This window comes from Homo sapiens, chromosome 2 (genome assembly GCF_000001405.40).
Source record: "Homo sapiens chromosome 2, GRCh38.p14 Primary Assembly".
Classification (NCBI taxonomy): domain Eukaryota; kingdom Metazoa; phylum Chordata; class Mammalia; order Primates; family Hominidae; genus Homo; species Homo sapiens.
This window is the reverse complement of record NC_000002.12, coordinates 230,648,563-230,664,206: the sequence shown is the minus strand read 5'-3', so window position 1 is coordinate 230,664,206 and position 15,644 is coordinate 230,648,563. Positions and strand designations below refer to the sequence as shown.

Below are 15,644 nucleotides of genomic sequence, written 5' to 3'. Positions count from 1 at the left end.
AGAGCATATGCTGGGCACCTACCCAGTATCTAGTTTCCCCTTCTTCCTTACTAACAGCATCCTGCCTTTGGGGGGTGGCAAGGTGTCCAGCTCAACTACTTCCTTGGATCCTTTGTATGTAGTGGTGGTCATGTTGACCTAGTTCTGCCCAGTGGAATAAGAGCAGGAGTCAGTGGGTGGAAATTTACTTTTTTTTTTGTTTTATTTTTTGAGCTGGAGTTTCACTCTTGTTGCCCAGGCTGGAGTGCAATGGCGCGATCTCAGCTTACTGCAATCTCTGCCTCGTGGATTCAAGTGATTCTCCTGCCTCAGCCTCCCGAGTAGCTGGGATTACAGGCCCCCGCCACCACACCCAGCTAATTTTTTCTCTTTTTAGTAGAGATGGGGTTTTACCACGTTGGTCAGGTTGGTCTCAAACTCCTGACATCAGATGATCCACCCACCTCGGTCTCCCAAAGTCCTGGGATTATAGGCATGAGCCACCATGCCTGACTGGTGGGTGGATATTTAAAAAGAAACAGATTCAACTGGCATGCTCTTTAGCCCTTTCTCTTTGATCTTTGACTTCATCGTTTTCTCCTTCTAACTTTTTGGAAGACAGTTTGGACGCCTGGAGGTGCAGCAGCCATATTCAACCATGAGGGGAAAAGCCAGATGCTAAGTGTGGTGGAGGAGAACAGGAGGAGTCCTGATGTTGGCTGACCCCTAAGCGATGGTACCAGCCCTTGACTGCCAACTCTAAACTTCCTTTTTTGTATGAGACAAAAAAAAAAAAAAAAAAAAAAAAAAAAAAAAAAAATCCCTGTTACTCTAGTTTTTAGTTACATGCAGGTGAACACAGTCCTAATTGATACCCAGGTCATCTCATGCAAAATCTGGTAGCTACTTCTGAAAGCCCAGCACCCACCCCAGCTAGCCTAGGGCAGCCCAGCCCATGGGTGGCTGACCTTGGGCCATGCCTCTACCCTGACCCCACTGCACAGAGGTGATGGCCCGCAGGAGTACAGTGTGTGGGGCACAGGCTCAGAGAGGTTGAGTAACTTGCCCGGCATGGCTCTGCTAATAAAGAGCAGAGTCAAATGTCAGTGTCAGATCTTGTGTCTCAGAGGCACTGTCTCTGCTCTGATATCAGCGTGGGTGGAAGTGGGCAGGGAAATGGGAGTTCAAAGCCCAACAATTCTGATACGATTCCCTAGGAAGAACCATAATAGACCATAGAGCATCTCCTTGAAGGCTTTGCCAAATGTTGCCTCGATGAGGCCTGCTCTGACTACCCTGTTCAAAATGCTGGCCCTCGCTCCAGATTCCCCTTACTCTACTCTGTTATTTATTTATTTATTTGTATAGAACGTACCATCTTTTAGCACACTATATAACTTACTTTTTAGTATGTCTGACATATGATGTCTCTTGCCCCTCCCTCTACCCCCAAAATGTAAACCCCACAGGGACAAAGAATTGGGCTGCTTTGCTCATAAGCAAAGGGCCTAGAATAACGCTGGCAGAAAGAAGGTATTTGTTGTACTGAATTAAATAGTAATGTTTGCTGAGCACCAACTATTAGGGGCTCAGGAAACATTGCTATTTAGTTCAGTGCAACAAACACCTCCTTTCTGCCACCATTATTTGGTGACATTAGGGACATTAGGGTGTCCCCTAAAATTCTTATGTTGAAATCCTAGCCCCAGTACCTCACAATGTGACTGTATTTGGAGATAGGTCTTAAAGAGATAATTAAGTTAAAATGAGGTCATTAGGATGGACCCTGATTCAATATGACTGATGTCCTTATAAAAAGAGGAGATTGGCTGGGCGCGGTGGCTCATGCCTGTAATCCCAGCACTTTGAGAGGTTAAGGTGGGCAGATCACGAAGCCAGGAGATCGAGACCATCCGGGCCAACATGGTGAAACCCCGCCTCTACTAAAAATACAAAAATTAGCTGGGCGTGGTGGCACACACCTGTAGGCCCAGCTACTCGGGAGGTTGAGACAGGAGAATCGCTTGAACCCAGGAGGCGGAGGTTGCAGTGAGCCGAGATCACACCACCGTACTCCAGCCCAGGTGACAGAGTGAGACTCCATTTCAAAAGAAAAAAAAAAAAAAAAAAAGAGGAGATTAGGACACAAACGCAGGGCCGACCATGTGAAGACAGAGGGAGAAGATAGCAGTCTACAAGCCAAGGAAAGAGCTCTTAGAAGTCAACCCTGTCAACACCTGGATCTCAGACTTCCAGCCTCCAGAATCATGAGGAAGTATACTTCTGTTGCTTAAGGCACCCGGTCTGTGGATCTAGGTAATGGCAGCCCTATCAAACTAATACCACACCTATGTCTAGCTCGGTTCAAAGGATTTTGCATGGGTTGCTCATTTGAGCCTAACCACAACCCTGGTACCATACTCATTTCTCAGATGCAGGAGCTGAGTGCCAGGAAGTGGTGATAAGGGGGCTGGGGAAAGGAAGAAAGTCTAAATCTTGGGGTTCTGGACCTTGTGAGGTTAGGGAAAGGAGCTTTGGTTGCCCGATCTGCCAGGCCCTTCTACATCTGAGCTCTGTGGGGAATCAGGCCTATGGGGAACTGGGGTGCTCAAACCACACCCCTAAGCCGGCCCATGCTATAGCCCTCCATGCCCCCAGTACAGCAGTGCCCCTGTGTCTCTATTTGGAACCCTGGGATCTGAGTCGCTGCCTGGCACTACCCAAAGGGACTCATCTCTATGGTGCAGTTCCAGATACTGAGGCCAACAGGGGTGAGGAAGAGAAGTAAGACAGCCCTAGGCAGGACACATTTCCCCCGTGTGCCTCAAAGGATTTAATCATCATGCACTGACTCTCACGCCTGCCTGGAGAGTCAGATTCTCTAATATGAGATTGTGTGGAGCCCACTGGTTCTTCAACTACCATTCTCAGTCAAGTTGATAGTATGGCTAATATTTATTGAGGTCCTACTATGTGCCAGGCCCTGTCCTAAGTGCATTCCATAGAGTTTCTCATTTAATTTTCTTGGCATCCCTGTGAGATGGTCTTCAATGTTATCACTATTTTACAGATGAGGAAACCGAGGCTTAGAGAGTTCAAGTGTGGAGTTGGGATCCTGTCTGACTCCTATGCTGGCTGTCTATTTCTTTTTTTTTTTTTTTTTTGAGATGGAGTCTCATTCTGTTGCCCAGGCTGGAGTACAGTGGTGCAATCTCGGCTCACTGCAATGCCTGATATGCTGGCTGTCTTAACCATTAACTGGCACTGACTGTATACCTTGCCCTGTGCTGCCTTTGGCTATAGTTGGCTGGACATGTTCCCCAATCCCCTTGTGCTGGGCAGAGAATCAGGAAGGAAGCTGGGGTGTAAGAACGGAAACTGCCAACCAGTACCACAAAGATCTGAACTCTTATTCACGTGGTCTGTAACCTCCTGCCCGCTCTCCCTCCCCCACCCGTGGTCTCTGCCTGGGAGCTGAGATTGTCCCCTTCTGTTTAACTTGGTGTTTGACCCCGGCCACCTGCTGTTCATTTCATTCAGTTTCACCGGGACACCCAGACCAGGGCACGGGAGGTGGCCCTGTTACCAGTTCTTTGTCATCTGTAGCTGGTTGTGAAATGCCCTGGCTGATCCACACCAGAAGAAGGAGAGAAAATTTCCCTGGGGCTGGAATTGCTGGGGCCCTTCCTAGAGGAACAAGCACAGCCCAGAGACAAATCTGAAGCCACTGCCTGTACACGTGGGTTGGGAACTGCCTGTCCAGGACACCTCCTGCAGAAGACTGGCCCAAGGCCTTGTCCTTTCCTTGGCAGGGACAGTGCGGGGACGAGAGAGTCCCAGGGGGGTCATGTGAGCTCTGTTTCCGGAGTCTATCTGGGAACCTTTTCCTTCCCTGCTGGTCCACATTCCCGGAGCTCTGCGAGTCAGCATCGAGGTGAAGGTGGGCCAGCGCAGGCCCTTCCCTGTGGCCTCTGAGTCTGGGGGGGTTGCCATCCTCTGGGTCTGATGTACCCTCCTTATGTGCAGGGTGGGGGGTGCAGAAGTAGAGTAAGTGGGCCAGGCGCGGTGGCTCACGCCTGTAATCCCAGCACTTTGGGAGGCCGAGGAGGGTGGATCACGAGGTCACAAGATCGAGACCAGTCTGACCAACATGGTGAAACCCTGTCTCTGCTAAAAATACAAAAAAATTAGCTGGGCACAGTGGCACGTGCCTGTAATCGCAGCTACTCGGGTGGCTGAGGCAGGAGAATTGCTTGAACCTGGGAAGCGGAGGTTGCAGTGAGCTGAGATCACGCCACTGCACTCCAGCCTGGTGACGGAGCAAGACTCCGTCTCAAAAAAAAAAGAAGTAGAGTAATTGTGCCCAGGAGCCCAATCCATGTCTGTTAGGAGCCTGCTTCCTGCCACCGGTCCCTGGGTGGCACACTGGAAGGTGCTTGGCATAGAACGAGGGCAGTGGTGTGTCAGCAGGCCGGGCACAGAGGCAGATGGACTGGGGGCCTTGTTGAGAAGCCAGAGGCCATGTCGAGGCTGCACAAGGCCGTGACTGCCTGCTTGAGTCTGGGGAAGCTGCAGGGCTCCTGTTCCAGGTGCCCACCAGCCACTGCGCCAGGGGAAATGCCTCTGAGAGCACATCAGGGGCTTCTCAAGCTGCAGCCACAGGGGCTGGGCTTGGCACAGAGTGACGGAGGAGGGGGCTGTTCCTGCAGGTTTTGGTAAGGCGCTGCCTCCTAACCACAGCTGATCCTATGTATGGGCTGATGTCTAGGCTCTTCTTTAGAAAAATTAGCATAACTGTCTTCCCTTCCACCCCTCCGCACCCCACGACCTGCAATCCCTCTGAGCCCTTATCTTCACTTATCAGACACCCAACACTCTTCTTCTCATTTTCTGAATGACTCCACAGTTCTAGAAATTAAAGCCTGCTGTATTCTGAGAAGGTGCTTTCTGTTTCCTCTGGTGAGTGGGCAGCACATACTTTGAGACTCCGCAGGGCAGAATTAGAGGGCCCAGGTACTGAAATTGACTCACTAGGTGGGGGTGGGGAGCACTGAGACCATCTTGAGTGCTTGGAGAAAAGTTGGACAGTCAGGTGGCACAGGGGCAACCGTGGGGTCTGGAAGGGGAGCACCGGGGGATGACTGAGGGGATGGAGGAGAGTGGTAGAGGAGAGACTGGAAACCAGGGAGGGCATGGGCAGCCCTGGGAAGACTGCAGAGGTTGAAGATGTGGAGGACACACCAGGCTGGGCGGAGCGGTGCTTAGCAGGCACTAGTGAGGCAGGTTATCAAAGCAGGGACTATCCCAGGGATGTGGTCACCATGATTGTGGTCGAGGGGCCTGAAGGCATAGCTGAGCCTGCCTGGGCTCAGGCAGAGTGAAGATACAGGCCCTGCCTGCTCCTGCTCCTGCTCCTGCTCTAGAGACTGTTCCAGGGATCACCAGAGGCCTGGCAGGAAGCTGGTGGCTCATGTGCAGGTCAGGCAGGGCCAGAGGCAGGCGGATGGGGCACTTTCTTTGGGAAGAGCTTGAAGAGGGCATTGCTGATGCCTCCACCCCAGGCTGTGATGAGCACTGTACCCAGTGGGGGGCTGGTGGCTGGAGGAGGGAGTATGTCCAGGAAAGGATTTCTGCAGGGCATCTAGCCATCCTGTCACTGCAGGGCTGTGATGGAAACCTGTGGACACATGACCACTGAGGGGACTGCTGCACCAGTTTATTTGTTTATTTTATTTACTTATTTTTATTGTTTTTGAGACAGAGTCTCGCTCTGTCGCCCAGGCTGGAGTGCAGTGGTGTGATCTCAGCTTACTGCAACCTCCGCCTCCTGGGTTAAAGCAATTCTCCTGCCTCAGCCTCCCGAGTAACTGGGACTATAGGTGCATGTTGCCACACCTGGCTAATTTTTTGTATTTTAGTAGAGACGGGGTTTCACCATGTTGCCCAGGCTGGTCTCGAACCCCTGAGCTCAGGCAATCGGCCTGCCTCGGTGCCTCAAAGTGCTAGGATTACAAGCTTGAGACATTGTGCCCGGCCTGTTGCCCCAGTTTAGGACTCAGACAGAGGCTACTGTTCCTCCAGGGACCAGGGGAGCCCCATACCACTGAAGGGCTGGTTTCTTCCCTTCATGAAGCTTTTCCTTCCGGCCACCCACGGGGACCCTGACATGTGCAGGGCACCTCAGGAGAGAAAGGCAGAGCTCCGTCTTCAACTCAACACAGAAGAAAAACCCGCATTTTTCAAAGCAGCGAAGACTCAGATGGGAGCATCAGGAGGAGAGGCCATCCTGGTGGTCTGGGGCTGTGGAGCCAGGCTCTGAGGACTCAGTGGGCCACTGACTTGGGGTGAGGAGAGCAAGGGCTAGCCAGGCAGAGCCACAATAAAAATGATGACAGCTAATGGTAATTAGGGGTTGAAATTTGTACCTCCTTCGCTATGAGCATAAAGTGAGATGCTCCGAGACAGTGCGCAGGCCTGGCACCTGAGCGCACCTGCAGTTGTAGCTGTGATTATTACTACTCAGGCAGCCACAGCAAACTGAGCACTGTGCCCTGTACCCTGGGTGCCCTTTCTGACTTTCCCTGCCCCCTCACCGCCCGGTCCTTCAGCGCTGGGACCCTGTGTGACAGCGCGGCAGCCCTACACCTGTGTGGCTTGTCATGGATTCTGCCACACCACACAGTGGATTAGGATGCCTTGTTCCTTCACGTTAGCTGTGCCGTTTCTACCAGGAGACAATTAGCGAAGTAAGTGCTGTTCTGTGGTACCAGGAGAGGGTTGGGGACGACGGGCTCCCCAAAACACGGGGGCTCTGCTGAGGCCTTTGGAGAGATGTCTTCGCTGTCCAGGAGGGGGTCCTGGGTGTCCTTTCGGTTATTTTTGGGCAGCCCTGAGGCACTTTGGAGAACGTTCCAGAACACTGAGAGGAAACTCCACCCAGCCCCAATCCAGGGAAGGAGGAACCTGATTCAAATGATCTCTATGCCTCAAAATCTGTTCCTAATCTGGAGGTAACAAGTTATTAATAACCGTATTGGTTATTCATCTCCTCACCACCTTCGTGACTCCCCACCCACCCACGTGTGCATCCCCCTGACCACTGGTCCACTCCGATGCTCCCATGTCTCCCCTCCTGCCCCCACCCACCCACGTGCGTGTCCCCCCAACCACAGGTCCACTCCGATGCTCCCACGTCTTCCCTCCTGCTGGGGCCCTCACCTGCTCCCACCAGTTACTGCCTTAGCCCCTCACTGGCTGGCTCCTTCCAGGAACCCCCTCCAGGCCACTCCCACTGAGCTACACAAGAGGCTTTTAGAAATGCAGGTCCCACAGGCTTGTTTCCCTTAATGGCTTTCAATTACCTTCAAGATAAAACCCAACTTCCTGGGCTGGGCCAGCAAGGCCCACTCCTCTTGCGGACAGGTTGTTGCCTCCTACTCAGTCCTTGAAACCCCCCACCTGTGAGCCCGCTCCCCCTACCTGGAACTCCTTCCTACCCCAAACCTTTTTATCCCCCGGATTCCTACTCATCCTGAATTTTATTTTCAATGTTGATGTCACTGTCATATCTAGTTTTTTTTTTCTTTCTTTTTTTTTTTCCACGCCCTCTGCTCACTGCAACCTCCGCCTCCTGGGTTCAAATGATTCTCCTGCCTCAGCCTGCAGAGTAGCTGGGATTACAGGAGCCCAACATCATGCCCGGCCAATTTTTTGTATTTTTAGTAGAGACGGGGTTTCACCATGTTGGCCAGGCTGGTCTCGAACTCCTGACCTCAGGCGATCCACCCGCCTTGGCCTCCCAAAGTGTTGGGATTACAGGCATGAGCCATCACGCCTGGCCCACTTTCTTATATCTTGGTTTTTAAATGTTAAATAAAAATGTCTCTCGTGTTTGCTGGCTTATAGGAGGAACGCAGGATTCTGCAGCTCAAACGTCGCCGGCTCCGGATGCCTCCTCAACTCCCCCATTCTGGGTGGCCCTCAAGGGTGAGCACCAGGTGGTGTGTATGGGGTTGCTCATGGCTGCCTCTCACACAGGACCCTATGCTCCTTAGAACACATTTTTAAACATTTAATCCTCAGTGCCCAGCACAGTTCCTGAATTATATTAGGTGCTAAATGCACGGGTTAGCAGCAAGTTCTATTTCCGAGCTACAGATTCGACTTTGAATCAAAAAAGACCTTAATTATTCCACACCTCAGTCTCTATCTAAGGCCCCATTTCTGTCTCATGGTGGAATCCCACAGTCAGTTCCAGTTAATCCACCACTTCTGAGACCCCTGCCCCACAATCCACTTTACGCTCGATTTATTCCGTTTTCCTTTTCCTCACTTTTATAGCAGAGTCCAAGTTGGGGGGCCTCTGTGAGGAGTCCAGGCATCCTGGGGGGTGTTCAAGCCTTGCCGGCCTGGGCTCCTTCCTTTGTGTCGGCATCGTCCTGCAGCCTTTGCTGAGACGCATTTGCCACAGGAAGAAAGGGGACAAGCTCTGGGAGCAGGGTCAGGTGGCTTTATTACAGGAAAGGGGCCCCAATCCAGACCCCAAGAGAGGGTTCTTGGATCTCATGCAAGAAAGAATTCAGGGTGAGCCCATAAAATGAAAGCAAGTTTATTAAGAAAGTAAAGGGCCAAGTTCGGTGGCTCATGGTTGTAATCCCAGCACTTTGGGAGGCCGAGGAGGGTGGATTACCTGAGGTCAGGAGTTTGAGACCAGCCTGGTCAACATGGTGAAACCCCGCTGTCTACTAAAAACACAAAAATTAGCCAGACGAGGTGGCAGGCGCCTGTAATCCTAGGTGCTTGTGAGGCTGAGGTGGGAGAATTGCTTGAACTCAGGAGGCGGAGGTTGTAGTGAACTGAGATTGCACCATTGCACTCCAGTTTGGGCGACAGAGTGAGACTCCCGCTCAAAAAAAAAAAAAAAAAAGAAAAGTAAAGGAATAAAAGAATGGCTACTCCATAGACAGAGCAGCCCTGCTGGTTGCCCATTTTTATGGTTATTTCTTGAAGATATACTAAACAAGGAGTGGATTATTCATGCCTCCCCTTTTAGACCATGTAGGGTAACTTCCTGACATTGGCAAGGCATCTGTAAACTGTCACGGCGCTGGTGGCAGTGTAGCAGTGAGGACGATCAGAGGTCACTCTCACGGCCATCTTGGTTTTGGTGGGTTTTAGCCGGCTTCTTTACTGCAACCTGTTTTATCAGCAGGGTTTTTATGATGACCTGTATTTTGTGCTGACCTCCTATCTCATCCTGTGACTTAGAATGCCTCACCATCTGGGAATGCAGCCCAGTAGGTCTCAGCCTCATTTTAGCCAGCTCCTAATCAAGATGGAGTTGCTGTGGTTCAAACGCCTTTGACAGCTTCATTCATATCAAAGAGCCCCTTGTCTTTGCCGATCCTCCACCTCAACATCCTACCTGAAAAAACAGAGCCGTGAGTAGGAGGTGGCAATGAGGCAGGAGAATAGGGCCTGGAGGCAGGGAACCTGGAAACACTTCAGTGATGACAGCAAATATCTTCTTCATTCACAAAGAGTGTACATCGAGTAAATGACTTTGTAACTTTACTTCATCCTCTTCATTTACACAGTAACCAATGGAAACCTCTAGAGGGTATTTAAACCCCAGAAAATTCTGTAACTGGGCCTTAAGGCCGCTGGCTCAGGCCGCTCCCACCCTGTGGAGTGTGCTTTCATTTTTAATAAATCTCTGCTTTTGTTGTTTCATTCTTTCCTTGCATTTTTTGTGGGTTTTGTCCAATTCATTGTTCAAAATGCCAAGAACCTGGTAACAGTGACAGGCAGTCAGGTCCTCAGCTCCATCTCCTGCCTCACAGGTGGGGAGAGCAGGAAGAGCACCTTCTCCCAGCTTTGAATACGCAGAAAGGCCTCCTAGGTTCGGGCTGGTGTGGGAAGGAAAGGCGGGTGGTTTTTGTAGGTGTCTGCTCGTCACACTAAAGTGGGGAGGATGTTTAGGCGGTTGGGGGCAGGGCTTGTGTTGCCCACCAAGGGGTAGAGCAACTGTGTGGGAGGCTGGCAGAATGGCCGAGAGGCTCAGTAAGAAAAGGAACATCTATTTTGCCACTGGGGGTGGGCTGGGACCTGTCTGTCTTCCCAAGATTTCAATAATGTTGGCTACACCCAAGTTGGAGTGCTCGCCTGGGGAAGGAAGGGAGGTTCTTTCTATCCCAGGTTTGAAACATTTCCCACCCCCTTGCCTTTGGGGAGGCTCTGGGGAAGGCCACTGCATATACCCCAAGACTTTGGTCCCGGTGTGACCAGCAGCCAACTGACCAGTGGCCTCCGTGGAGCAGATGGTTCTGGGAAGGGTCACCTTTGAGGAGCGGAGTCACCTGTTAGACCTCAGATATGGAGGAGGCAACCACTTCACCCTCCTTTATGAACACATTAGCATTTTCAATAAGCACCTAGGGTGATTTTTATGTACACCAACAATCTGTAAAAGAGAAATTGGGCAGGTGCCGTGGCTTACGCCTGTAATCCCAGCACTTTGGGAGGCCGAGGCAGGCAGATCACTTGAGTTTAGGAGTTCGAGACCAGCCTGGCCAACATGGTGAAACCCTGTCTCTACTAATACAAAAATTAGCCGGGCATGGTGGTGGGCGCCTGTAATTCCAACTATTCGGGAGGCTGAGGCAGAATAGCTTGAACCTGGGAGGCAGAGGTTGCAGTGGGCTGAGGTTGTGCCACTGCACTCCTGCCTGGGTGACAGAGAGTGAGACTGTGTCAAAAAAAAGAAGAAAAAGAAAAGAAAAATAATTGTCCCCAAACTGGTCTGGGACAAAACTTTTTGTGTGTGATGCAATTAACAACTTCCTTCTGGGAAAAAATAATCAACATTCCTGAGGAAATGCATAAGCCATTTTTCTGATCTACTTTAATGGAATTAAAGCTGATTCTGGGAAACCAGTGCCCCTCCCATCTAGCTGCCTTGAAGAAAGGGGGGCTAGTGGACATGCCTATTTATACGTATAAGGACCTGGAAATAGCTCTTTCTCACCTCCCTCCACAAAGAGTCTATGATACTGTTATATATAAAGTTTCGGTGCCGTAAAAGAAATAGCACTCGAATATAAAATCTTCTTTTTAATTCTCAGCGAGGCAAGTTACTTCTATAGAAGGGTGCGCCCTTACAGATGGAGCAATGGTGAGCGCACACCTGGACAAGGGAGGGGAAGGGGTTCTTATCTCTGATGCACATGGCCCCTGCTGCTGTGTCATTCCCCTATTGGCTAGGGTTAGACCGCACAGGCTAAACTAATTCTGATTGGCTAATTTAAAGAGAATGATGGAGTGAGTGCTTTGGCAGGAGTCAGGGCAGAGCAGGTAGCAGGTAATAGGAATGAGTTAGGGTGGAGCAGGTGATCAGAATGAGTCAGGGTGGAGTAGGTAATTGAAAAAGCTTGCTTTATGAGGAAGTTTAAAAGTAGAAGGCAAATAATTGAACATATTGACATGTTAATTCTTTGAAAAGAAATTTATAACTCATATCTAACAATACAAAAAATATTTGCTGCAATAACAATAAAATACATGGTAGAAGGCCAGCCAGAGTTGAAGCTGAGATAGACCGAAATGGGCATGCGGCCACCTATGTGCTCAGATGGGGCCTGGAAGGGAATGCCACATCCTGAGGGGTGGGGGAGCCTGACACCAGGAGCCTGGCCCTCGGTTTCCATGTCCATATGGATGCCAGTTGCCTTGCCTTCCTTGCAGGTTGTGAAAATCAAATGAGGGAAGGATTTGATGGGAACATCCTTGGAAAAGTAGAAGGCAGCTTGCAAGTCAGGGATTATTACTACTGCCATCTTATTGAGAAATAACCTGCCCCATGCCAAAAAAGCCCAGGATGACTTCTGGGTATACACACAAAAGAACTGAAGCAAGGATACAAAGAGATACCTGTACACCCGTGTTCACAGCAGCACTACTCTCAATAGCTAAAATGTGGAAACTATCCAAGTGTCCATTGATGGATGAACGGATAAGCAAAATGTGGTCTCTCCATAGAATAGAATATTATTCAGCCTTAAAAAGGAACAAACTTTTGACAGATGCTACAACAGGGATGAGCCTTGAGGACATTATGCTAAGTGAAACAAGCCAGTCACAAAAAGACAAATACCTTCTGATTCCACTTATGGGGGTACCTAGAGTAGTCAAAGTCATAGAGACAGAAAGTACAATTGTGGTGCCAGGGGCTGGGGGAGGGGGAGAATGAGGAGTTACTATTTCATGGGTGCAGAGTTTCAGTTTTACGGGATGAAAAGTGTTCTGGAGATGGATGGTGGTGATGGGTGTGAGGCGGGAGAATAGGGTCTGGAGACAGGGAACATAAGGCCGATTCATGCTGATTTCCTAGAATGAAATCAAATGGAAACACTTCAGCTATGACAGGAAATAGGGCGTACACCAAGTAACCAGTGGAATCCTCTAGAGAGTACTTTTTTTTTTTTAATTGAGATGGAGTCTCGCTCTGTTGCCCAGGCTGGAGTGCAGTGGTGCGATCTCTGCTCACTACAAGCTCCGCCTCCTGGGTTCACGCCATTCTCCTGCCTCAGCCTCCCGAGTAGCTGGGACTACAGGCGGCTGCCACCATGCCCGGCTAATTTTTTTTGTATTTTTAGTAGAGACGGGGTTTCACCGTGTTTGCCAGGATGGTCTTGATCTCCTGACCTCATGATACGCCCGCCTCGGCCTCCCAAAGTGCTGGGATTACAGGCGTGAGCCACCGCGCCCAGCTAGAGAGTACTTAAACCCCAGAAAATTCTGTAACGGGGCTCTTGAGCCCCTATGCTTGGGGCGCTCCCACCCTGTGGAGTGTACTTTCATTTTCAATAAATCTCTGCTTTTGTTGCTTTATTCTTTCCTTGCTTTGTTTATGCGTGTTGTCCAATTCTTTGTTCAAGACGCCAAGAACTTGGACACCCTCCGCTGGTCACAGTTACACAACAAGATGAACGTAATTAACACCCACTGAACATTACACTCAAAAATTGTTAAGACGGTACATTTTATGTTCTGTGTATTTTGCCACAATAAAAAAAATAAACTTTTTAAAAAGCAAAGAAAGAAAAACTCAGGATGCATGTTTTATGCAGATCTCCTTAAAACAGGCCTTCATTTCAAGAGCATGTGATTCCCCTATCACCTGCTTCAAGATTCGTGCATCTTGCCCTCTTCATTTTCTGTATTAATTGTGTCTGCTCCTGCTTTGAAGCACTCAATCACATAGGCATCTCCGTCTTCCTGACTTTCCTCCTTGTGGCCTCGCGCCTAGAATCTCCACCATTCAGGCCACCGCTGCATCAATTTCAGCAAAGCCTGAGCCACAAGAGCTACTACTGTTCCCTGTAAGCCCTCTGTAGCCTCTCCTCTGCCTGTCCCCACCCCCAGCACAGGCACCATGTCCGTTTCTCTGCTGATTATGAGATAGTGCATGGCTGTTAGTTCTGCTTGAATAAGCTCTTTTGTCCCCGAGAATTTTCCCATGTCAAACATTTATTCTGCTGTGTTATGGGTCAGTGAACAAGGAGATAAGTCTGAATTCTTAAACAACCTTGTGGACACAAGACATCTGTCTGGAAGGCAATCAAACAACATCTGTCACACTGTCCCCAACTTTCAAATTCCTTTCTTAAAAATTAGACCATTATTTTATGCTTTCAATCCTAAAGAAATATGAAAGTCTCTCATAAATCTCCCCACTCGATCCCCTTTTCCAGCACCTATTAACGTTAGTAATTTGGTGTCTATTGCTTGGATTTTTTTTTCTGCATCTGCTAACATAGATAGTATTATTATTATCATCATCCTTATTATCATGTTACCATAGATACAGTTTTGCAACTTGCTTTTTGACTTAACATATCTTGAACTTTTTTTAGTATTAGGATCTCATTCTTTTTTTTTGTTAGATGGAGTCTCACACTGTTGCCCAGGCTGGAGTGCAGTGGCGTGATCTTGGCTCACTGCAACCTCCGCCTCCCAGGTTCAAGTGACTCTCCTGCCTCAGCCTCCTGAGTAGCTGGGTGTACAGGTGTGCGCCACCACACCCAGCTATTTTTTTGTATTTTTAGTAGAGACGGGGTTTCATTATGCTGGCCAGGCTGGTCTCAAACTCCTGACCTCAGGTTATCCACCTGCCTCGGCCTCCCAAAGTGCTGGGATTACAGGGGTGAGCCATCAAGCCCGGCTTCCTGATGGTGTTTCTCCAGCTGCTTGTAAGATTTTGTGTGAGTGGACCAACCTAGGAGAGGACTGGGGCATGAACTGTTGGTCTGGGAAGGAAGAAGGCATCAGTTGAGTGAATTCCAAGAAAGCTGGATCTGAATGGTGTGGATATCTATGAGCTTGTCTGCCTAGCACCCATCCATCTTTTGGAAACAGCACATCCCATTGGAGAGGCCTTCTTTGGGAGACCTCTCCCCACCTCCAACTCCAACCACAGGGGCCTCGTGGGAGCTGCCTATTCTATTGTTGGCCAGACAAGCCAGGGGTCAGTATTTATAATCTCTGGCTAGTTAGAAGCCTCCTTAGCAATTTTTGAATGGGATGTAAATGAAAAGAGGTCTTGTTCCAAATGAGGGGACTGGAAATATGTGCATCCAGAGTCTGCCACAGGCCATGGATTGTAGAAAAAGACATTTGGAATTAGCTGGGCATGGTGGCGCACACCTGTAATCCCAGCTACTCAGGTGGCTGAGGCAGGAGAATCGCTTGAACCTGGAACAGGGAGGCTGCAGTGAGCCAAGATTGCACCACTGCACTCCAGCCTGGGTAACAGAGGAAGACTCTGTCTCAAAAAGAAAGAAAGAAAGAAAGAAAGAAAAAGACATTTGGAGGGACTGAAGCTAACTTCTAAACAGAAGCTGAGACAAAAAGCGAAGAAAATTCCAGAGCCCAGGTGGTGACTGAGGCCCTAATTCTTGCCATCTCCAAGGCCAAGGATTTCTGGTTCCTTTCTATACTCTTGACATAGGTCAAAAAATTAGCTTTATCTATTTTTGACTTTCATATAATGGAATCATACAATTTCTACTTATTTCTCCTAGCTTCTTCCACTCAATAGTAGATGAATGAGATTTTATCCAAGTTGTCACACATAGTAGGAGTCTTTCATTGTTTTTTTGAGACGGAGTCTTGCTCTGTCGACCAGGCTAGAGTGCAGTGGTGCAATCTTCGCTCACTGAAGCCCCTGCCTCCTGGGTCCCAGCGATTCTCCTGACTCAGCCTCCTAAGCAGCTGGGATTACAGGCACCCGCCATCGCGCCCAGCTATTTTTTTTTTCTTTTTGTATTTTTGGTAGAGACGGGGTTTCACCATCTTGGCCAGGCTGGTCTTGAACTCCTGACCTCGTGATCCACTCGCCTTGGCCTCCCAAAGTGCTGGGATTATAGGTGTGAGCCACCGTGCCCAGCCAAGTCTTTCATTTTAATTGCTTCATAGTATTCCAATTATCTTGGGTAGAATTTTGGGGGCCACATGGTAACTCCGTGAACCTTTTGAAGAACCGCCAAACTGTTTTCCAAAGTAGCTGCACCAGTTTAAGCTCCTACCATCAAAATACGAAGGTTTCAATTTCTCCACAACCACACCAATACGCGTTATTGTCTGTCTTTGATTATAGTTATGCTAGT

At 49.3% G+C, this 15,644-nt stretch overlaps 7 annotated features.

Annotated features, from left to right (window-relative positions):
- Positions 477 to 666: an enhancer, noted in NCBI's record as "active region_17241". NCBI's record gives its function as "activates an Ori minimal core promoter by ATAC-STARR-seq in GM12878 lymphoblastoid cells {active_cell/tissue: GM12878}" and the evidence as "EXISTENCE:reporter gene assay evidence [ECO:0000049][PMID:35858748]".
- Positions 1,217 to 1,296: an enhancer, noted in NCBI's record as "active region_17240". NCBI's record gives its function as "activates an Ori minimal core promoter by ATAC-STARR-seq in GM12878 lymphoblastoid cells {active_cell/tissue: GM12878}" and the evidence as "EXISTENCE:reporter gene assay evidence [ECO:0000049][PMID:35858748]".
- Positions 3,577 to 4,133: an enhancer, noted in NCBI's record as "H3K27ac-H3K4me1 hESC enhancer chr2:231524789-231525345 (GRCh37/hg19 assembly coordinates)". NCBI's record gives its function as "activates a minimal SCP1, AML or CMV promoter by ChIP-STARR-seq in naive H9 embryonic stem cells {active_cell/tissue: H9 hESC(naive)}" and the evidence as "EXISTENCE:reporter gene assay evidence [ECO:0000049][PMID:30033119]".
- Positions 4,455 to 5,583: a transcriptional cis regulatory region, noted in NCBI's record as "candidate enhancer chr2.6880 targeted for multiplex CRISPR interference". NCBI's record gives its function as "positively regulates CAB39 gene expression with high confidence in K562 cells {active_cell/tissue: K562}" and the evidence as "EXISTENCE:mutant phenotype evidence [ECO:0000015][PMID:30612741]".
- Positions 4,768 to 5,037: an enhancer, noted in NCBI's record as "active region_17239". NCBI's record gives its function as "activates an Ori minimal core promoter by ATAC-STARR-seq in GM12878 lymphoblastoid cells {active_cell/tissue: GM12878}" and the evidence as "EXISTENCE:reporter gene assay evidence [ECO:0000049][PMID:35858748]".
- Positions 5,368 to 5,417: an enhancer, noted in NCBI's record as "active region_17238". NCBI's record gives its function as "activates an Ori minimal core promoter by ATAC-STARR-seq in GM12878 lymphoblastoid cells {active_cell/tissue: GM12878}" and the evidence as "EXISTENCE:reporter gene assay evidence [ECO:0000049][PMID:35858748]".
- Positions 5,478 to 5,567: an enhancer, noted in NCBI's record as "active region_17237". NCBI's record gives its function as "activates an Ori minimal core promoter by ATAC-STARR-seq in GM12878 lymphoblastoid cells {active_cell/tissue: GM12878}" and the evidence as "EXISTENCE:reporter gene assay evidence [ECO:0000049][PMID:35858748]".